The 23,758-nt window shown below is 34.9% G+C and overlaps 2 long non-coding RNA genes across 4 annotated transcripts in view, besides 1 other annotated feature; one reads left to right on the top strand and one right to left on the bottom strand.

The window, feature by feature from the left end:
* Positions 1-23,758, top strand: part of LOC105373710 (uncharacterized) — an 87,864-nt gene that overhangs the window by 125 nt on the left and 63,981 nt on the right. The window lies entirely within an intron of this gene.
* LOC105373709 (uncharacterized) lies at positions 72-22,861 on the bottom strand. Of its 2 annotated transcripts, XR_923507.3 has the most exons (5): positions 22,221-22,860; positions 15,933-16,057; positions 9,044-9,230; positions 6,985-7,432; positions 6,414-6,607 (listed from the first exon to the last, which is right to left on the bottom strand). It is a non-coding gene; the product is annotated as an uncharacterized LOC105373709 (long non-coding RNA). The 2 variants fall into 2 exon arrangements; XR_001739755.2 differs by having other exon boundaries at positions 72-7,432; positions 15,933-16,020; positions 22,221-22,861.
* Positions 11,924-12,853: an enhancer, noted in NCBI's record as "VISTA enhancer hs415". NCBI's record gives its function as "enhancer in: limb[6/10]" and the evidence as "EXISTENCE:transgenic organism evidence [ECO:0001131][PMID:17130149]".

Below are 23,758 nucleotides of genomic sequence, written 5' to 3'. Positions count from 1 at the left end.
TGTAACTTGTTATTTCTTGTTTGGAAAATATTTTTGCATGATAAAAAATAGGAACGTTATAGAGACATCACCAAGGTCAGCTGAATTGTTTATTTTGTTATTACATTGCAGCATTACAAATGAGATGACACACAAATCACAATGAATGCATAATAAATAGAAAGTAATAATAGATTAAATGTATTTAATCACTTTATGAGACAAATATGATTATCAGAATGTAAAATATTAAAAGTCTAAGCCAACAAAAATATGTGGAGATAACAAAAGAAGACATTGATTTATGGAAGTTATGCAAAGTGTTTCAGACCTCCAGAGGGTGCTATTGCATTTACACAGAAATATATTTAATTATGTACACATTCTCCTGAAATTTAAAAAATGAGAATTTTGAGCATCTCTAATTTGTTTCCACATAAAACAAGGAAAGAATCAATAATCATAACAACAATTTGCCTTCTAAAATATTAACTGAGGTTTATCTCATTTAAAAGAACATTTTTTAACCTGAAGATTAGTTACTTAATGAAAGAATGGAAAATATATCAAGTCATTTCAGATACTATGTACAGTAACCTTTGTTTGAACAAAATGAGGTTTGTATTAGCCACAGATATTAAATTGATGGTATATTCAAAAATATGTTTAGAGATTTAAAGTTCTTTGAATCTTTTTGAGCACCAGGAAATAAATCACAACATGCAATCAATCTTTGAGGAAAAGCCGCACATTTTGAAAATGAAGATAAAGTCTTTAACTAAGCAAAGTTATTTTTGACTATCGTAATCTAGCATTTCTTACATATACTTACGGTAGGAGTGGTATTACCTACTGAGGAAAATGAATCAGAGGCAATGGCAAGTAAATAGTAAGTTAGTTCTTTGCATTATTTGAAAGCTACATGACAATGGTGGATGTGTGTATCTTTTTTTATTTTATTATTATTATACTTTAAGTTTTAGGGTACATGTGCACAATGTGCAGGTTAGTTACATATGTATACATGTGCCATGCTGGTGTGCTGCACCCATTAACTCGTCATTTAGCATTAGGTGTATCTCCTAATGCTATCCCTCCCCACTCCCCCCACCCCGCAACAGTACCCAGAGTGTGATGTTCCCCTTCCTGTGTCCATGTGTTCTCATTGTTCAATTCCCACCTATGAGTGAGAACATGCAGTGTTTGGTTTTTTGTCCTTGCGATGTGTGTATCTTAAAAGATTTTAAATTCATGTGACATGGCTGTAAATTTGTACACTGAGCTCTAATCTGTACATATCGGTTTCAAATAATATGTCTTTATAAAAAAGCAATGATTAAAATTGACTCAAATAATCCTTTTTGAAATTCACTGACATATTTGTTTTGTTTTGAATTTTGACAGCTATTATGAATTCTTATCATATTTATAGGATTGTTTGAATCATAAGATCATTGATTGCTATTGGAATTTCATACAATGCCCCAGGAATGTGATTAAGAAAATATTTGGATTGCTTCACATCTTTAAGCCTCTGATTTGCATTTTCCCTGATTTGAAATCATCCTGGTGTTGTTTTACCAAAAAGTGTATGTTGTTATTCAAAATAAAAAAGGAACTAATGCAAATATTCAACTCTTGGCAACATTAGTGAATGACATCATAAAATGCAGGCAATAGACAAGAAAGTAATTGAATCCAAAAAGTGTCCCTAAATTTATAACATTTCTGTCATTAAGAGTAAACAATCTATTTGGGAAACGCAGAATAATTGATGAGCCATAATTACATTGAAATGATTAATAGTGAATCCAGGTAGGAAGTTAAGAAACATGTTCATTAAAATGTGAGGATGTTACTAGAAAACTTGTAGAATTGCGTGTAAATAACAGTGTGATAGCATATGCTATTTCTATAACATCTTTCTCTCAGGAGCACAAGCTAACATAGATCCATTCTCTTCACATTTCTGGAAGACAGGAGGGTATTAATATCCCCTGTAGCTACAAGAGAACAAAATAACCAGGACAGGAGCAAAACAAAGCATAGGGAGGCAGATGGGTGGCAGTTTCCCATGTTTGTGGGTGACTGTGGACACAGATGGACCTGTCAAATGTTTTCCTTGAGCTGATCTGGATGACATCAGTAAGGGAGGAGTTTTAATCAAAAAGGCTCACAAGTAGAAAAGGAAGGCAAATGTAGCTTTCTTTAAGACCTTCACAAAATATTCTCCTAGGGACCTGTAAGTCTTTCAATACATGGGATCTAGAGAACAGGGTGGCTGCAGAAAACATTTAAACATTTAATACCCTAGAGGATAACTAGAAAAAGATCTCTTGGCACAAGATAGATGCATGCTAGTGACAAAGCATTCATATGAGCTTTTGGCCCTTTCCAAGGTATATATACCCTTTCTGTTGAGCCATAATAGTCCCTAATTGGGGATGCCATATTCTTCATACAGTCTAAAAACTGTCAGCACTGTATAGTACCAGGAAATTTAAGACTGAAAATAATAGCTAAAAATAAAAATAACAAATAGAACATTTGTTAGATTTGTGGCCTGGAAAAAAAAATATCTCCTTAGGCCTTATTTTTCACAGTTCCCAAATAGAGACATATGAGGTTAAATATTTGAATATAGTCTAAATGAGATAATATATTTTAAAGTGTTTTGGAAATATAAAGTCTTGACTATGTTAGCCTACTATAGTTTGTAGTTTTATCTCAGGTAAGATCCCAGGTGTATTTTACAGTGCTAGATTCTTCTTCTTTTCCTAGGAAAAGATAAATTAGGACTAAAGAAACAGAATGATTTATTTCAATATTTACCCTAGATTAATATGAAAGATGGAGGTGAGTCTAATCTAAGATCTCTTCATTTAGGTTCAGTGTGAATGATGAGGTAGAGTGGCTCCCTCTTCTCTCCAGCTCTTCAGTAACATCTTACATGGGCTACTAAAAGAATGCCTGGCAGAGACACCCCATTTCTCAAATGACTCACTGGATACACACTCTGCCGGAAGCTCTGTATGCATACCACAGTGCAATTGATAATGTTTCAGACCAGTAACTCAGTACAGACTTCAAAAGTAGTGCATGTGATGTTATTTTGTGTTATTTTATGGATCCGTTGGGAATGTGATCAAAACAGATATGTCACGAAAAAAATAGTTCATTTTTTACAACATTGATTTTGTAACCAGTGAGTGATTTTCATCTGAGAAGAGAATCATCTGAAGAAATAAGGCCTAGACTGACACCATGAGGTTGGACTTTGGACCATATGTGTTTAGTCTGTTTGCTGTGTTGGAGGAAATATGGGAAATCGCCATGACCCTCTCTAGGTATAGGAGAAGGGAATGCATGCTGGCATAATACCAAGCCAAAAGGTGAAACACAGACAATAGTTGTGAAATGATAAAGGAGGGTGATAGGATAGAAAGGTGACTATGAACCTGAACGTCAAAGTTCTTGCCAGATTTTGTGCACTGTGAATTGGGACAAGGACTCAGATTCTGTGATCCCAGTTTCACGTCTGCTAACTTGAGGCTGGATTTCGACCAAACATCTCAAAATTTCCTTATAGCTCTTAAATGCTCAGATTCTCTAACCCAGGTGTGTGTGTATGTGTGTATGTGTACATATGTGTATGTGTATGTGTGTGTTCTAAACTGTCTTGAATTATAATTAAATGGAAAGCAAGTTTACAAGCAATTTACACAGAAAATCAAATGATTCATTTACATGGGGTAATAAAGTAGGTTGGCAAAGGAATTTTTCAAAACACTAAGTATTTGAAATTCTGTTCTAAGGGTGAACAGATGCACACTTACTACCACAATACCTTTTGCATCTTTTATTTAAGTAAAAAGGATCCTTGAAATTTTAGTGATTCTCGTGTGCACATTTTGTAAGGAAGTTTTTTTTAATGCAAGATTCTAAACTTCTCTATTCACCCATACTTAACTGGTGTCCTCCCAACTGTATATGTGGCGGGTTTGGCCAAAGAGTTTTATATATAACTAACTCCCTCTGCACAAATTTAAATATCTAAGGCATTGTGCTATTGAGCTAGTAATATAATAGCTTGGCTTTGTATTTTATTGCAACAAATTCTTCCATTTCAGCATGCTACTTCTATTGAGAGAAATATATACTAAACAATGATTTAAAATGTACATAAAAGTTCCTAGATGAAAATATCTATGTCTTTTTCTGTTATATTCAGTGTCTATAAATCTGAACCTGCATTTATACATAGATTTATGCAATTGGATAACAATCTCACAATCATATCTTAAATCCTATCCATTTGTGAGGATTAGCCTGTTCAACTAATTCAGCGTGCTAGGATTGTAGTAATTTCGCTAGTCCTTTTCTCAAGACTGCATCCACAGGGAAATCTCACAGCATCTCCTCTTCAGCTTGTAAACATTAGCAGTCAGACCACATCATTCAGATTCATTCTCTGTTTTGTACTCGCAGGTACAAACTTCCCTACAACTATGGAAGTACCTCTATTAAAAGTAGAAAGGGTTAGAGACACTTTTTATGTTTATTTCTGTTGACTTTTTAAAGCAATTCGTAGTTCTAATATAGTGAATGTAATAGATACATGTCTGTCTGTCTAACAACAGAAGCAATTAGCTTTGTTAAATCTTCTACTCCACCTAAATCAGCAATTTCAGATGCCTCAGGAAAAGAATATATGGGAGACAGCAATCAGATAGGAAAAGGGAAGGTCGGAGGAAAAGTGGTCTGCTCACTCTCTTGCTGTTCCCTGACAGTTTGTGAATTCAGTCCTAAAATGATTAACATAATTAAAGCTGTATAAACATTGCTTATTTATCTTACTTTTTAAGGGACTTTGCTGAGACTTGTTCCAAAAACAAATCAACCCCAGGGTCAATTATTGACTAAGCCAATGCATATTTTTAAATGTGAGATCATAGACAATATATAATTAGTAGAAAATAAAATCTTCTTTTCCATTTTCAACTCCTCATTGTCATACCATTTTCTCACCGTTCCTCACTCATAAAAATAGAATGAAAATTTACAGAGGTACTCAATGCAGTATTAGGGTCTGTTAGAGTCAGTGAACTCTCTTCCACCAATCTTACACACAATCACTGTATGTTGACAGTTTTTGTGTTTGAATATGACTTTATCTCTTTTTAGAGTGTTTATTCAGTGTCCTACTTATTGGATCACATTTCAGAATCTGAAAGTAAGCAAAGAAAGTTTCTTAGAAGTCAAAATAGCTATGCACACCTAATACTCGTGGCCTCCATAAGCACCTACTTTTATTTAATGTACATATTATATGATTTAGTTGTCTACTCTCCAAGATCTTAGCAGATTACAGACATATTGATTATAGTACAATGATAATTTGACAACTTGCACAAAGAAGATTCTTGGGCTCAATAAGTGTGTAAGCAATCTGGGCACAAGAATGTCACAATGTTATAGCATTAATCATCCTTTGTACTTGATGATTGTAAGTCATCAAGAAACATTAAATTATGGTTAAAGTATATGGCTTTAGGAAGATCAAATCAGGGCCAGGCATGGTGGCTCACACCTGTATTCCCAGCACTTTGAGAGGCCAAGGCGGGCAGATCACAAGGTCAAGAGATCGAGACCATCCTGCCCAACATTGTGAAAACCCGTCTCTACTAAAAATACAGAAGTTAGCTGGGCGTGGTAGCATGCACCTGTAGTCCCAGCTACTCAGGAGGCTGAGGCGGGAGAATCGCTTGAATCTGGGAGGTGGAGGTTGCAGTGAGCCAAGATTGTGCCACTGCACTCCAGCCTGGCAACAGAGCGAGACTCTGTCTCAAAAAAAAAAAAAAAAAAATCAAATCAATATAATCAAATAAACAATTATTGCAATTATTGATGACTACTATTCAAATTTTATCTTTAACATTTCCCCATAACTTACTCTTTTCACCATTTTATGGATGAGGAAACTGAGGTGCAAAGAAGTAACTTTCTCAAGGTCACAGGCGATAAAGTGGCAGAAGTAGAGAGTAAAGCCTGACCACAAAGATGTTGCTCTTTCTGCAACTCTACTTTGCCTCAAGAATAAGATTTTCTTTCCATTTGAAACCATATTTGAAATTACATAGTCTAGCATCTCCAGTTTACAAATGAAGACATAAGAGTGAAAGAAGAAAGTTATTAGCCTAGGACAATGTAATGAATGAACCCAGAACCTAGATTCCTGATCTCACAGACCAAAGTTCTTTGCATGCTGCCATGTTGCTGACTGACATTGCCCCTGTCAATACCAAGTTCTCCTAACTCCCTGCCTGTTCTAATACCCAGTCTTGGATTAATAAAATTGATGAATATTGTTGTAGACATACATAGACTGATGCTCTACAAATCCAAGGTCTTTCGCTAGTCAAGACACTTACAGCTGCTTGTAATCTTGTGATATTTTTGAACTATTTCCCTGTAATCAATATCATAGTGTCCTGGGCTTCCAAGTTCCCACAGCTTCATATCTTCTGGCAAATTCACCTAGTTTACTGAGTTCAAAGTCATCCAATGTGAACTCTAACTTTAGCCATCATCTCCATCTCAGAATTTTTGTGTGGACCCTTCTCCCAGCCTGTATGTAACAAAGAAGAGTTTTGCATCATTATCATATCTAGTTCATTCTGTTGCTCATTACGTTTCATCTGTCTTGAAGGAACTTGCTCCCTTAATTTCTAAGACTCACTCCTTCCTTCCAAGCATGTAACATTCTCCAGCTTCACTTATCTCTAGAATTATGTCATTCCACTCACATCTCTTTTTTATTTGACTTCAAAATTCCTCAATAATACAATGGGTTCTCTTCCTCACTGTTCTTTCTCCTCTTCTCTTCTTAACCCATGAAAATGTAGTTACCTAGCTATTCTAGTTCAATAGAAATCTCCTGTTCACCAAATGAAATAGTCCTTACTCTGTTCTCAATATTTGTTTTTCTTAAGCTCTGTTGAGTACCTGCTGCTCAAATCTGTCTGTTGATAAGACATTGATCTTCCTGGCTTTTCTCCTATGTTCTTGGCCACACATTCTTCATTTTCTTCTCATTTATTCTTTCTCCCACTCCTTACGAGTAGCCATTTCACCATCTCTTCTTCCTTATTCCTGTATTTTCTTCCTTGCTGATGTCATTCACTCTTATAGCTTTAGCCATCATCTTCCATGTAGATGACAAAAATAGTCTATCTTTAGCTTTAACCTTCATCTTCAGCCTGGAAATTTCTAGCTACTGCTACATTTTCTTTTGATGTTTACTGACACCTGAAACTTTCGACACACCTACATCTTAACTAACTTATTCTGCTAAACGTTCTCTTGATGTCTCAATTTCTGTCATTGCAACACCATCTTTTGAGGGACCTAGGCTCTATGGACATGCAGGATCATCTTCAGGTATGTGACTTTCCTGAAATAAAGTGCAAAATGTTGTATTCGTATTATTTTTATATAATTTTATCTGAAGAAAAGTTTTAGAAATTTTTATCATCTTTTCAAAGAGTTCAGAGAGCAAAAAAATATCTTAATAGCCACTGCTGGATTTAACATCTATTTTTCTCCTTGTGTGAAAAAAAGAAATGCCTATAGGTAAGCTTATAAATTCAAATTTTTGGATAGCTTTTGCAATCCGTGTGCTTATATTTCTTAGCTATTATATGCCAGAATAAATTATCAGTTGTTTGGTTTTGCTCAGTAAGAGAGGATAAGCAGAACTTTGTCTTCCCAAATAGAAATCACATATCTTGGATTATGACTTACTGTATAAAATTATGATGTTATCTCTAAATTTTAAAAATATATCCATCACTTTGTCTTTGTTGTTAAATACAGGATTTGGCTATCAAAAGAAATTACACTGTTTATGTGTACAGGCAGCCTAGTTTTGTGTTTATCTCAAATCAGGAACTCATGTGTAAAACTAAAAGGTCAATTTGAAATATCTAGCTATTTGACATCAGATGGATAAGGAGGAATTACACTTTCAACCAATTCAACTGTTACAATATTAGGGTAACTATTTTAAGAAAATATATTTGAACCTATGTTTGAATGAACTTGATTGCTCCTTGTATGAAATGACATCAAAAGCGAAATCTATTCTCTTTTTACACACAAATTATGCTCAAATTTGGTAATTTTTTTTCAGTTTGCTTCCTGAGGATTAATGGCATGTAGACATAACTTTGTGATTAGAAAATTAACCACACTGTTGTGTTCCTTGCTTTCCTTTTTATGTGGAGTAATGCTGTTTTGCATTGGTTCTTATATTGTTTATCATTGTATGAAACAAAGCTTACAAATTAGATTTCATCTCCTATAAATTAGTGTATTTATATTTTCCAGGCCAGGGACTGTTAGGTGCCAAGCCACAAAGGAGAACAAGACAGCTCCTGTTCTTAAGGAGCAGAGTCTAACAAATATGTATCCACCTTGAAAAATATTGTTGTATTTATACTAGTATTATTACTGTTATTCATTTTTAATGATTATTATACCTAGTTCTAGCAAAAACACAACATTTTTTACAACAGTACATATTACTCAAAAAAGAAATGATATTCTCTTATATAAACAAGTTTTCTTTATAAAGGTAGAGAAATGTGTCAATTTTCTCCTTGAACTTCTGCCACCTTGTAATCAGGAACTAATTAATTAATTAGCTAATATTTTTAAAGTGCATTGAAAATGAGCTGTATCATAGAAATGCTAAGTATTTTAAAGCCTTGCGTTGCCTCATATATACCAAATAGGCTTTCTTAAAGTTTGTAAAGGACAATTTGAACAAATTACATTTGGTTAAAGGAAAAAGCTAGGCGTATATTGAAGACAGGTGTAGTCAGGAGTAGGAGAAGTTGGAATGGGAAAGTGCAAATGTAATCAAGAGAAGGAAAATGATTCTTTACTTTTATCTCCATTTATCATTATCAGAAAACAAAAGAGATGTATGTCTTATAAAATGCTAAAAATAGAATACAAATTTATCAAAATGAAATAGTACGATAATTGTTCTTATACTTACGAAGTTGTTAATAGAGTTAAGTCAGGACTTCCTATACAGGTGATTATTTTATAATGCTCTTGGAACTTAACTCCAAGGCCAAAACATCCCATTTGGAATATTGAGCTATATCTGCACTGCCTAATCATGGATAACAATCAGCCTCTTCCTTCTCCATGATTTTCATGTCCAAAGACTGTGCCAATGCCTGGGGAGGACAAAGGAAAGAAGAATCATGGCCAGTGCCCCCACACTGATAAATGTGGAAAACCAAGCCACAGCAGTCACGCTTCAATATGAGATTTCAAACCTAGAGAGTTCTCAAATGGGGTAAATTGCTCAAGTACTTTTTTAGACCCAGACTTACTTTTGTGATTTTTAAACATGATCATGTGGAAATTCAACTTTGCTAGAAATTATATTTGTTTCAGTTTAGTGGTGGTGGTGTTGTGCAATCTTTCCACACTTCTCTTTCTTTAAAGCCAATGAGAGAGATGGCCCAGAACATAGAAACAGAAGGCAACCGCAAAACATTGTTATGGTACTATTTTCACTCCTCAGGTATTATTTGCAGCATTTGCAGATCACTGCTGGTGTTCTCTCTTGTGAATATATGAGGAATAGACCTGACCCACAGAGTTAACTTGGCTAAGTGAGGTTCACTTGGCTAACTTGAGTTTGGCCTCAACTTGACATCATCACTGTGGGCTCAGCAAAGTGATTGCTCACAAGTAGACTGTGCAATATGCCCTTTTACCTCCTCCGAGGCCATAAATTATCACCCCAATAGTATACGATCATATCTTTTTCTACGTCACTTAAGGCAGATTAAATGGCGTCATCCAGTCTTTCTTACCTTTACAATTCTCATAAGCCATTTGGCCGATGTAGAAACTGAGATATAGAGAGACTGAATAGTTTCTCCAACCTCCTATATGTAGCAAAAACTTGGAGTTGAACATAGATGTCTAATGCCAGAGCCAGAGTCCTTAACCAATATACCATACTCTCTACCCATAATAATGATAATTACTAACACTTATCTAGAACCAGTGCTTTTCCAGTTAATTAAATTACTTGACTAATTTTATCTTCACAACAACCATATAATGTAGCTATTATTACTATGCCACTTGTATGTATGAAAAAACTGAGATGTAGAGAGGTTGTATAATTAAAGTTTGATCAATAGTAAGTGGCAGAGCAGGGATCTGAATAGGACATACTGACTTTTAGGATTTTATTTCGCATATAAATATCATGTAGAAACGTAGTATGCTTCATGACAAATCTTAGTGAGATACTGGATTTTTTCTCCTTTATATGACCGTAAGAGCTTCATAAGTCCTCATTTGTATGAAAGTTTGTTCCTAACCATTGTTTGGATTAAGACAGTAACATTAAAAAATTATGTATCCCTTAGAAGAGCAATACACTATCATGTAAGCATTTATGAATGCACTAGTACAGATGTTTATCTGATTAGCTAGCTGTCATTGTGCACAGTTAAACTCTAAGTAAAGGAATCTGTTGTAAGTCTTTGATAGAGATGAGTTTTAGAAAAGGTCCAAGTGCTCCCTGAAGAAATCATACCTGATAGGGAGAGAAACTACAGAAGGTCCTGAATAAACAGGATACCACACTGTATCCTGAGAAGAAAATACATCAAATAAGTAGAGAAATGCTCTTTGCCTCAGATTTGAACCTATAAACTAGCTTGACACATACAAACACCAAATATGAAATGACCAAGGAAGTTTGACTTCTTCACAGAAATCTCAGAAACCTCTGCTTGAACTCCACACCAAGCATGCACTCAGCCTGTTATTTCTCTTTCCTCTGTGTTTCTACAATTTAGAGTAGAAATTTGAACTTCAGTTTTCTTGCTGTGGTGCTCCGTGTACTTGGTTTGGGCTCCTCACTTGTTCTACTGCTCTATGCCCTAGTTGTAGTCTCCATGATCTAAATTAGGCTGTAATTGTTGATTAATACCTTGAAAGGGACCAGCCAAGGCCCATGACGAAAGTTCAAAGGCCCTGAAGTTAGATGTGTATTTTGCTGGCTTGAAGTCTTGATCGGCTCCATTGACTGTGGCTATGGTGAAAGTTGTAAGAAAAGCAAAAAGCAGTAGTGCTCCCCCCCGGCCACACCCCTTACCACCCATACCAATCTTAACTATTTAGGCTTGTCCTCTACACAACTGTCTTGAAAAATTCTTTGACAAATTTTGTGGATCCTCTGCCATTCATTCAGTTTGACAGCTATGTGCTTTTTTTATAGGAAAAAGATAAAATAGACATATGTAACTATTAGGCAAGTTGCATCAAAATTTGGGAGTGCTAATTAACAGAGAACTTACCTTTACAAAAATCCTGTAAATTGCTGTCTATTTTTCCAGAAATTATGCTTATTTACTGTTTTCTGTTTCTGAGAAAGAATGTTTTAAAAACCCAACCCAACTCAATTCTATATTAATAATATAAAGAAAGACCATATAAAATGGATTATGAGAATTATGTTAGATTATACATGTAAATGATATTATACATGGTTAATATTAGGGATCATTTTTCTAATTTCCTATTTTCCTTTCTTTCCTATATTTCTTTTCAGAGTTATATTATGTCATGTTCTATTAATATCTGGATGAAAGATATTGCCATATTCATGTTATAAATATCCAGATTGAGGACAGAGTTTTGAGTAATATGGTAACACCAAGTATTATTATGTGTAGAGCATTTTATCAACTCTCCATCTTAAGGGGTTTTCCACAATTAAAAAAGATGATTAAAGAAGCTATTGCTAACTAATTGTAGGTTAGTGTTGGTTGTAAAGTAAGGTTTCTCAGGTAGAGATTTATTCCCATTTGTAGAGCTTGCATATTTTTGGAAAGCTTAGGCATCAGAGCCCTGTAGCTTGTTTTTCAGCAGCTCACAGTAAATGTGATTACACTCAATCATCATCTTGAAGTTCTCTATGCAAATGCAGGAGGTTCTTGCCTTGAGAAAAATCTTTAAAAGTTGCACAGCTCCCCAGAAGCAGAGGTTGAGAGGGAGGCATGCTTTGTGTCATACACATTAATTCAGTTGGCACATTACAATGTTAAACTAAATGACATTATTACAAAGCTGTGCTAAGAAGTGTTGACAGGTCCATATGGTAATTTTACAATGTATAATGAACACACAGACTCCTTTCTTGCAGAAATTTATAGTTCAAATCTATACCCAGGATATCCAGTTTTATTTCCAGAAACTTAAATTGACTTATTACGATGTAGTGAATGTATAAATTAGTTCCAGTAGTTAAACTGAAACATTTCCCTACAGACTCAATTAGATTCATTAATCTGCTGTGTAGACCTGTAAACGGCCCATTGTTCTTTTCCCCCCAAAATGTCAAAAACTATTTCTCTAACTATAAAATATTTCCTACAAAAACTGTTTTAAATGGTCAGAATATTGTATATTAGAAACCCAGAACTGCAAATTGTCTTATTGCCCTGGCACCTTTTTTCCAAAGAAAAATAGGGTCCAGCCCTTGCCAAGTAATTTAATGGGGTTAGTGACTGAATTCAGTGCTCTATCACACTGAAAATGCACTGAAATTAAGAAAAGATCATCTTTTCTCCTTTCCTACTGCATAAATCAGCTGGCATGGGGCATATTGTGTATGTTCCTAGCCCCACAGCTTTTTCATTTTAAAACTTTTGTTTATGTGCCTCCCTCTGCCTGAAGTGTGGCAGCTTATCAGTCCATTGTGATGTTCCATGGAGGCAGAGTAAAATAATACAACCTGTTAATAAATTCCATTTCAAACGATGCACACCTGTGTCTTACCTTTTTCAAAATACCACCCTCGTGGAAACTAGGGAGGCCACTGCTCAGCAGAGCTTTAAACACAAATCTTTTTTTTAAGCTACTGTTGTAGAATTTTTAAAAACCACCTTGTTTTATTGATAGATGAAGGTGGCTGTTTTTACTTACTGCACGATATTTTTTGCTTCTGTGATTTATTAAACATTATTTTTTTGAAAAACCTTTGCAACTGTTACCTTTGACTTTTTTTTTTAATGGTTCAGCTCTAATAATCTTTAGAGGGTTGCATTTGAGGCTAACTTTGATTAGGTTTTTAATCCTGGGTAGACAAGGAACTGTTCCATTTTAAAGATGAGAGGGGGCTGCTGTGGTCATTTTCAGACAGACTGAAACTGATGTGATCTGAAATGGAAATACTTAAGACTTGTTTAATTTTGTTTAACAGAAAACAATTTCAGTTCTCTTTAGGGGGGAAAGATACATATTTAAGAGTGTGGGGGTGTCTCATAAGGCAAGCAATGGAAAACAAATAATCTTTAGAAATGATTTGCAACCAAGGATTCAAATATTCTCTCCCTCTCTCTCTCCATCTTTCTTCTCTCATTATAGCTACTTCATTCTTACTCATTATTACTTCAGTTCTAGTTTAGCTTTTTCTGCTTCTCTGGTTCATAGTGTGAAAAGTTTGGCTAAAGGGAATCTCCCAATTCTTACACGGCAGAGCAAATCTTCTCCCATCTTAATCCCAGTTTTAGAAAATTATATTCGTATTGGTCTAATTGCTTCAGTTCCTGCTTCTTTCCTACTTTGAGGGCAATCAAATGTGACTAGAGAGTGGACTGACACTGGTTAATGGTAGCAAAGAGGGGATGCTCCACTTTGGGCAGGAGTAAAAATCGGCTACTCTAGCTGAAATGGAGAGAAAGTTAAAAAGAGGGAGCTCCCAGGAAATGTTGGTAATGGTAAATGGGGGTTAGTGTTGGGCTGAATACACACATGGAACAAGTATCTATCTATCCTATTTTAAAAACCCTTCATCATTATCTTCAGTCCAATATTATGTAGAAAGTTAGAGCCGTAGGTGCTCCAAAAGTAGAGATGTTGGACTTTTCCTCCAGGATGATATTTCCAGTGAGAAATATAATGTGTTGGAATAATCAGCTTCCTGTTCACAGTCCCATGTTCATCTGCTCGCAGGACACGCACAATTTTCCTGCCAATGTAGAGCATAACATTTCCTTCCCCCACCCTTTCCATTTCATTAATATGGAGGTGGGGAAGGGGTGTGCCAGATTCTTCTTAACAACATATTTCCCCCTAATTTTTCAACTTATCACCTCCCTTCTTGGAATCCTAGCTTTTCATGACAAATTGAAGAGTTCTTGCTTGTGCAAATCTGCTCAATGCTAATATCTGCACCTGTACTCCGGGGTTGTGGCAAAGCAGCCACACATGCACAATGAGTATGAATCTCCCACATCTAGAAAAGACAGGAGGACTGATATCAGCAAAACCAGCTCAAGTACTTCCTTGTCCTATGGAATTGGTAACTGCTGTGTTTGGAAAGCCTTTCCTATGGCTCAGCACTTTGCATTTCAACACAGATATTTATTAAAGAACTCCTATGTGCCAGGCACTGTGTTGTATACTTATAGAGAGGCAAAATAAGTAAGATACTGTTTCTGCCTTCAAGGAGAGTGCCATGTTGATGGGGTGACAAGACAGTGTCTCACCAATAATTATGGTATAAGGGACAATGTGGATATACTGAATAAAGCTGATGGGAGTAATTATAGAAAACTTCTTGGAAATGAGCTTAAAAGATGACTAGGAGTCTAATAAAAGGAGATATGGAACATATTAGGTTTACTGGCATTCTCCTATTTAAGAGTCCTTTCAAAAGAGAATAGTCTTAAATAGAATGAAAATACAGAAGACTTGCAGGGAAGTTTAGAAGAGGATTGGAATGAGGGAAATTTGACTGAGCTCACCTCTATTGTCAATACAAAGAGAAATGAGGGAAGATATGAGGGAGGAGAAAGAAGGACAGAATAAGCAGGAATAGAGCCTCCTGGTGAACAGGAGCCCCAGTGTAGAATTCCTTGTTTTACATGCACTTTGAAGTAATGTTTCTAGCGGGCCTATCATTTGGCAGAAACTATCACATAATATCTGTGTTGTCCATTGTATTTATTGGTAAATTGTCTCAAACAGGATTAGCTTAAGGTAACAAAGTTAGTAGGTAATGCAGCTGGGAATTGAACCCAGTGTGCTGAATTCAAAAGATGGAAACATTCTTCAGGAGAATTAAAGGAAGAGATGGGCAAGTACTCATGAACTTGCTTCTTTGTTAGCATCCTTGATCCTCCTCTCTCTTCTCTATTGTCCTTGCCCTTTTAAGCAACTCTAGTTACCAGATTGTAATTAAAGGTGCCTCAGCAACAGAAATTTGTTGATGTGTCCTGTAGGTTCATCATTATAAGTGTGACTTAGTTGCCTTCTCTTTCTGCTTCTCCCTAGTCACCTTTTAGGTTCTGCTCCCAAAACTAGGTATTCCTGTTCAGGCCACTACCTGACAATCTCTTTTTTCACATCTTCATTCAGACTTTCTCAAGAGAGACTATATGATTGGCCTAAGTCATTATTGTCATTGCTATGGAATAAGCCTTTGAGCCAGACCTCTTCTAGACTGTGACCAGCCTTTATGTAGGATGCCATGGGTCAGAGGCTCACTTCAGTCTAAAAAATTGTCTTCAAGATGGTTGGGTCATGCAACTTGGCTGCTGATTCCCCTATTTTAAAAAATCTCTTAAAATGGGCTCTATTTGGACATATAAGGAGAGAAAGCTAAGAGACATTACAATTTCAGGCACTAAAATCAATGCAACATTGATCCTGACCTGCCTAAAGCAAACCAAAAAATGTGTTACCCTTTTCAAAATGAGAGTATATTTCTTAAGCTAAGTACCATTGCATATCATATTTATTTTTGTCTTCCATTAAAGTAACTGATCCACAGTTGTGCTTGATTATAGAACAAAGTGACTAAGAACATAAACTTTGGAACCAGACATAGGCTCAGTTCCTACCTTGGCTGTCTGTTGTCTCAATGACTTTAGTAAGTTATCCAAATTTTCTATGCCTCTTTTTCTTTATTTGTTGAATAGCTGTCAGTATCTAATGAGGTGTATACAAAGATCAAATGAGGTAATATCTGTAAAATGCAAGCACATAACAAATAATAGACTAATTTTTAAAATAAATGAATATTGCCTTAAAATTAGTAGATGCCCATGTAAAAATGTTACGAGAAGGAAATTAATAAACAGAAAAAATTATTTGCAGAGTGATCAACTTCAAAGACCTTGGATTCATTGTAGATTTTGGTTTATAAACAAAAACACACACAAAAAAACCTTTTTTGTTGTTGTTGTTGTTTGTTTTTTGTTTGTTTTTTTTTTTGAGACGGAGTCTTACTCTGTCACCCAGGCTGGAGTGCAGTGGCACGAACTCAGCTCACTGCAACCTCTGCCTCCCAGGTTCATGCCATTCTCCTGCCTCAGCCTCCCGAGTAGCTGGGACTACAGGTGCACACCACCACACCCAACTAATTTTTGTGTTTTTAGTAGAGACAGGGTTTCACCATGTTGGCCAGGATGGTCTTGATCTCTTGACCTCGTGATCCGTCTGCCTCAGCCCCCTAAAGTGCTGGGACAGGCATGAGCCGCCGCGCCTGGCCAAACCTTTGTTTTTATACAACCATAGAACCATGGGCTAAGAAACATAATTCTATTTAGTATCCTATACATAGTTTGCAAAAGGATATTCTCAATCTATACTCTTTGAGTAAGTGTGCCTTTCCCATAAAAATATCTAAAGGAGATTCTATGATTCTTAAAACTTAATGTGCTAATGGCCACATGTAAAGATGAAACCAAATGTTAATGTCATAGTTGATTGAGCCAAGGTTTTATGCATAAATACATGAGAGTGGCACATTTTTAAAATGTGAACAAACATTAAAGTATAAGGTTTATAAAACAAATTAGTCATAGTTTACTTTTTAGTGTATTTAAAATGTGTCATTGATGACCTTTTAGTAGTAAAGACAAGAAAAAGCAGTAACATTTGAATTTTAGGAGAAAAACACATTCAAAATTATCCTTTTTAATATATTAGTACATTTCCATATCTAAAGCCAGCTTCTCAACAGGGCTGTGTTTTTTTTGTGAATGATCAGCTCTCTAATTAGCCAATTATCATTGCAAAGAGCGAAAGGGACAAAAATCACAAACTGTTAGTAACTTAAAATAGTTATCTACATCACTACATATGAACGGAGAGTTTAAGTAGAATAAAAGGTTGGGGATCAGAATGAAACTGTTTCTAACCCTTTGCCGAGATAAAAATAACATTTTACAATATGGTGTCACTTGTCTCTGTTTGAATAATGAGAGTAATTTTTTACATCTGCATGACTGTTAAGAAGCAGTGTGTGTTCCATTTGTAAAATAATACAAAGCAGCTTTGAAATGTTTTATAACCTTTATTAAGAATAACTCCAAAATATCCAGACACTATTTATGGTTATAATTACTACTCTTAACTCTCTGTATTTACTACAGTCAATATATCTGCATCTCTAAATGACAAATGAGGCACAACTCTAAAATTTTGACACCTGTTGGACATATCACCCTCTGAAACTGTAGCTAGTAAGAAACTACAGAAAATTAATACAATAAGCCATCTGCAGAGTTAACCCACAATAGGAGAAGTTTTATAAACAAAACCAGGGTGTTACCAAATATCACCAGGCAGATGCCAATCAAAAATAAAACTAATATGCAATAGACTGAAACCCTGGAAATTATTCTATGCTGATGGCAGTCACAAACACAAATATAGTGTTTTGTGTGAGCGTAGAAAGTATGTTTCTGAATAAGAATTTGTCAGTATTCCATTGTACTACTCTAAAGCAAGGATTTAGGGTCCTTCTCTGTCTATTCAGTGTATGTATTGTCTACTAAGACAATTGTCACTTCAGCAAGTATACAACTGAGTCCAGGGAATGAGTAGTCTTAAAATGACTCCCTGGGTACTAGCTCTCCCTATTAAAAAGTTTTGCCCTATTTATACAACCAGTTATCTGGTTAGACAGACTTCCCAAGGTAAATGAAAACATGACCTTCTGGTGTACACATTTGTTTGTTAAGTGTTGCTTAGTATAACTTAGACCCTGGGACATGTTAATTCCTCAGTGAACTGACAAAATTAAGTGCCTCAATGTGCATAACTCAGATCTGGACTCTGGAATAGGAGAGTTCTACTAAATTACAGTTAATCTACAAACTCAACATCCAGCAATAGCTCAATTGTCTTAAGGGAAGCATGCAACTGGCAATAGATAAACAGAGATTTATTTACTTCATGGCAAATGCTTCTTGCAATGTAAATACTAAGAGTATTGCTAATTAAACATATTAGGCAACTAATTGAACAACATGAAATTTAGAGTTCCATAAATGCTTTTCTACTTTTGTTATCACTTTGTTTACATTACAGATGTGGCACTAACCATATACTTCCTTCAACTGTAGTATTTAGGTACAAGTCTTATTTTTGCCTCTAAGTTGCAATTTATTTTAGGACAGGTGTCAATGTCTCCCCTCACAGCCTAGAGTAGTCCCTTGCATATTGTAAGTATGTACTAACAAATATTTATCAAATGAACAACATATCTTATTTCTATGTCTTATTGTGACAGATAGTCTCTTCTTTCCTATATTACAGCAGTTGGAAGTTTTGAAACTATATTTCCAAGAATCCCTATTACCAGCAGAGTGCTGGTCACACTTCTTCCGTAAAAAGCACTTACTCAATAGTTGGGAAGAGAAACAGAAGTAGAAACCATCATTGGTCTTGTGGCAGCAATGGGCAGGTGTGAAAGTTTCTGAGCATCCTACTAAAAATTACCCAGTTTGGTTCTACTATGATCATTAACAGTGGATTCCTACAGTTCCTTCAGTTCTTCCACTTCCCAGTGTTTCGGAAATTTTTTTTTAGGAAATCCAGCAGGGGCTTTCCCTGAACACTATCACAGTCTTTCCAACAATTCCATAGGCTCTAATTCCCTGTATTGAATTCCATTCTGTTTAAAATTTCTGACGTATTTTCTGTTTTCCTAAAATACTGACTGACAGACTTGAAATTATGCTTTCCATTTGCTTGTCATTCCTATTCTGTCTCTATTATGAAAAAAAAAACTAAAGTTTTGAACATTCTTCCAAGATTTTAATTGTATTAGCAGTGGAGGAAATGCCACAGCTTCAAATTCCAATTATGCATTAGATTTATGGCCATAATAGATGGAAATGGCATAACTGATCTATCTCTTTATAAGCATCATAGCATGCTCTGAGTCACAATCCAGATAGTATTGGAATTTTGATATTTGATAGCTGCAATTAAGAAGCTGCTAGAACCTATCTTTAGTTTTAAGGTTATTTGCATTTACGTGTGAAATTTAAGTATCACCATAACAATGTCTATAAAGGAACTATAGGAAAAGATATTGACTGTGACTTTTTTGAAATCTACATATTAGTTTGAGAACAATTGAAATTCTAACAATGTATTTTTTAATTCATTGCCTCTTTATTTCTTTTTTATTTTCTCGGGTAGGTTTTGTAGTTTTCAGTGTATAGGTCTTGTACATCTCATTACTAAAAGTTATTTCTAAATATTTGATGTTTTGAGGTGAATATTTTTTAAATGTTAAATTATTATTGAAAATATTAAATAATATTTTAAAACTTTACATCCAGTTGTTTCATATTTCAATTATTTTTTGCTTAAAGATAGAATTATAATTTGATTTTGTAGTTTGACTTTGCATTTTGAAATTGTGATAAATTATTCATTCCAGTAGCTTTATGTATATTACTTAGAATATTCTATACACATATTCTATTGCTTGAAAATAAGGAGAATTTTATTTTGTCTCTTTCAGCCTGTATACCTTATATTTTCTTGCCTTATTCTGCTGGAGCTAGGACCTCCAGAAAAATGTTGAAAAGAAGTGAAAGCTGACATTCTTGTTTTTTCTTAATCCTAAACAACCTTCCACTGCTATGTTAGCTATGGATGTTTCATGTATGCACTTTATCATTTAGAGGAAGTTTCCTTCTATTTCTAGAAGGAATATTTATTTATTTAGATATATATGTAAATATTAGAAGAAATATATATAACATATATAAATAAATATTAGAAGGAATATTTATTTATTTTTGAGATGAGCTCTTGCCTGTCACCCAGGCTGGAGTGCAGTGGTGCAATGTCCACTCACTCCAATCTCTGCCTCCTGGGCTTTCCAGCTTTTGCCATTAAGTTCAACAACTTATATGAAAGGAACAAATTCTGTGAAATCAAAAATTATGAGAACCAATGAGATTAAATGTTTATACTATTATCTTATTATGCTTTTACTGTCTGTAAAACTTGTAGTGGTATCCCCTCTTCCATTCCTGATATTGGTAATTGATGTATTTTCTCTCTTGTTTTTTCCTTGATCAGTCTATCTAGACTTTATCAACTTTATTGATCTTTTCAGAAATCCAGCATTTAGTTTTATTTGCCTTTTTTCTGAGACAGAGTTTCACTCTGCCACCCAGGCTGGAGTGCAGTGGTGCGATCTTGGCCCACTGCAACCTCCGCCTCCCAGATCAAGCAATTCTCCTGCCTCGGCCTCCTGAGTAGCTGGGATTACAGGCATGTACCACCATGCCAAGCTTTTTTTTGTATTTTTAGTAGAGATGGGGTTTCACTATGTTGGTCAGGCTGGTCTTGAACTCCTGACCTCATGATCCACTTGCCTCAGCCTCCCAAAGTGCTGAGATTACAGGCATTTCATTGACTTTTACATTGTTCACCTGTTTTTTATTTCATTGCCATTATTTCTATTTCTGGTCCAAGTCATTGTTTTGTGTATATCCAAGTTGTCCTCTGACATCATTTTCTTTCAGTCTAAAAAAGTTCGTTTTTGTAATTTCATGTAATGAATGTCTCATGGCCAAAAATTCACTAGGCTTTTGTTCATCAGAAATTTGTCTTTGATTCTGTTTTTTAACTTTTCATTTTTAAAATAATTTCAGACTTACAAAAAATTTCAAAAATAGTGTAAATAAAATTCTATACACCATTCAGAATCCCTAAACAATACAACTTTACCATATTTGTTTTACAATTCAATCCTTCTCTTCATATATATGGAGTATATGTGTATGTGTGCATGTGCACAAATATATGCATATGTTGTTATAGAAATATAAATACATTTGTGTATATACACATATATGTATTTGTGTGTGTACCCACACACAGACACACACAGAAATCTTAACCTAAAATCAAATACCATCACTTTAAAGAATATTGTCACTAGATGTAGAATTCTAGGTTGATAATTTTATTTCAGCAATTCAAAGATGTCATTGTATTGTCTTCTAGAATTCACTGTTTCTAATGAGAAGTCAGTGGTCATTTTTATCTTTGTCATATCTTTGTCATTATCTTTGTTTGTATGTCGTATTTGCTTCTACTCTGCTACCTTCAAGATTTCCTTTTTATTGTTGGTTATGGAAATACATTATAATGGGCCTTAGTATAGTTTTCTTTATGTTTATCCTGCTTGAGTTGTGTTGGGTTTCTCAGATTTGAGAGTTTATAATTTTTATGAAATTTGCAAAAATGTGGCATTTATTCTTTTAACTTTTTTTTGTTCTGCTCTTCTGATCCTCCAGTTATATACATAATAAATTGCCAAACATTTTCCTACAGGTTCCTGAAGATCTGTTTATTTTTGTTTCAATCTTTTGCTGCTCATGTTTTATTCTGGATTTTTTTTCCCTTTGCCACATCTATCTATTCTTTATTTCTCAGTGGATTTTTCTTTACAGATAATATATGTTTTGTTTATCTATTTTTCCATTTCTGTCTTTATTAATCTTCTAGGTTCTCTTGACTATATTAATAGTTTCCTCTAAATCCTTTAAGATATTTATATTAGTTATTTTAAAATTAATATCTTCCAATTCCACTCTCTCTGTCATTTCTGGTTTTTTTCTACCAGTTGATTGTTCTCTTTGTTCTGAATCATATTTTCTGCTTTCTCACATGTCTAGTAATATTTTTATGAAATCCTAGGCATTGCAATATTATGATTTATGATTTTTCTTTAAAGAGTATTGAGTATTGTTTTTGGTAATTAAGTCACTTGTGAATCATCTCATTTTTCCTCCATTTTTCATGTTATGTTAGGATATAACCTGAGTACCCTTTTTCTAGATCACTCCAGCTCTACTAAAAAAAGTTACCTTTTTGAAGCTTCCATTGAATACCCCAGGAGTTCGAGTATCGCCATTCCTATTAGTCAAAACTCATATGTCTTCTAGCTCTCAGAATTCTAGAATGAATATCTCCTTATTAGTCATTCTTTCCATTGTGATTATTTTCTGCTTAGCCTCCTTATAGAGCCTTACCCTATAAATGTACAAAGACTCATAGGCACGCTGGTGCAGATTTATGGAGCTTTTTCTCTGCGTAGCTCTGTCCTTTTTTACTCTGCCCCCAAATTCTAGTAGTCTCAGCCTCTCCAAACTCAGAAACGATTTCCCTAATTCAGAGATAGTACCATTCTCTGCTTGGGATTTCTTTTCCTTATTGTGGTCTGGAAAATGTCTCCAGGTAGAAAGCCAAGGTTATTTTAGGGATCATATCATTTGCTTCCCTTACCTCAGAATCACACACCTGTACTGTCTGTTGTCCAGTCTCTGAAAACAATTGTTTGTTTTATATATTTTGTTTGGTTTCCTACTTGTTTACTATGGGAGAGCAAGTCTAGTCAGATTCATTCTGTCATGGACAGGAGTGGGAGTCCGTAGTTTACTTTTTGAAAAAGAACTAAATTGTCTTTGGGAAAAATCTCAATCTCTCACTCTCTCTCACTCTCTCTCTCTCTCTCTCCCCCGAGCCCTTGCTCCATCTTTAATGAGCAAATGTGTTCTGTTATGTGAAAATCAAAATCCTAGTTTATTGTGGGTTGGAGGGGTTTGTGATAAGAAACTAATGTGTTCAATGTGTTAATATAAAAACTTGTTACCACAGGAATAGAATGGTTGCTGTATAGTGAAGAAGTACCATCAAAAATCAGTTGAGATAATGATTGAGGGGTGTACTATTGATTTTACTCTTCCTGGGCCCTAGAGAAAGTTGATTGGTCTCAGAAAGCCATTGTGCAACAATATGGCAACAATAGCCTTTCAGAGGAAAAGTAAATCATAAATATTTTTGGCATGGACAAATCCTATAGACTCCAGAAGCTGTGATGTCCAGTATCTAGTTGAAATACAGCAGAAGGGCTTTCTTCGAGGAGTTAGATAATGAAATTTTCTAAACATTTATTTCACAAATTTTAAGCTCCTGGTGCCATAAAGATCTATTTTTTAATCTGTTGACTGTAGTGAGCAGAGTAAGATATCTGTTGATATTTGTATAAGGCTGCCCTATTCCCTGAGTTTTCATTTACACTCAGCAGATTATATTTATTCTAATACAATGCAACTTGACCCAAGGACAAGTCAAGCCTCCAGGTAATTTGCAATAGGTTTATTCGCCTGATTTGATTTTCTCTAATTTTCATGGTACTTATTCTGCTTAATTTGAATTATTGGTATAAACTTTCTTAAAGTACATGCATAAAAAGAAATAATTTTTTCCTTTAATTAAAACATGGATCAAAGGACCTTGAAAAGCTGGAATATTTCTGAAAGAATAAAAGTCCTGAAGAGTGTACCGTTTACGTAGGGATGTCAGGAAGGACACATAGCACATCATTATTTCTTCCGCTTGTACT

This window comes from Homo sapiens, chromosome 2 (assembly GCF_000001405.40).
Source record: "Homo sapiens chromosome 2, GRCh38.p14 Primary Assembly".
Taxonomy (NCBI): domain Eukaryota; kingdom Metazoa; phylum Chordata; class Mammalia; order Primates; family Hominidae; genus Homo; species Homo sapiens.
This window is presented reverse-complemented; position numbering and strand designations above follow the sequence as displayed.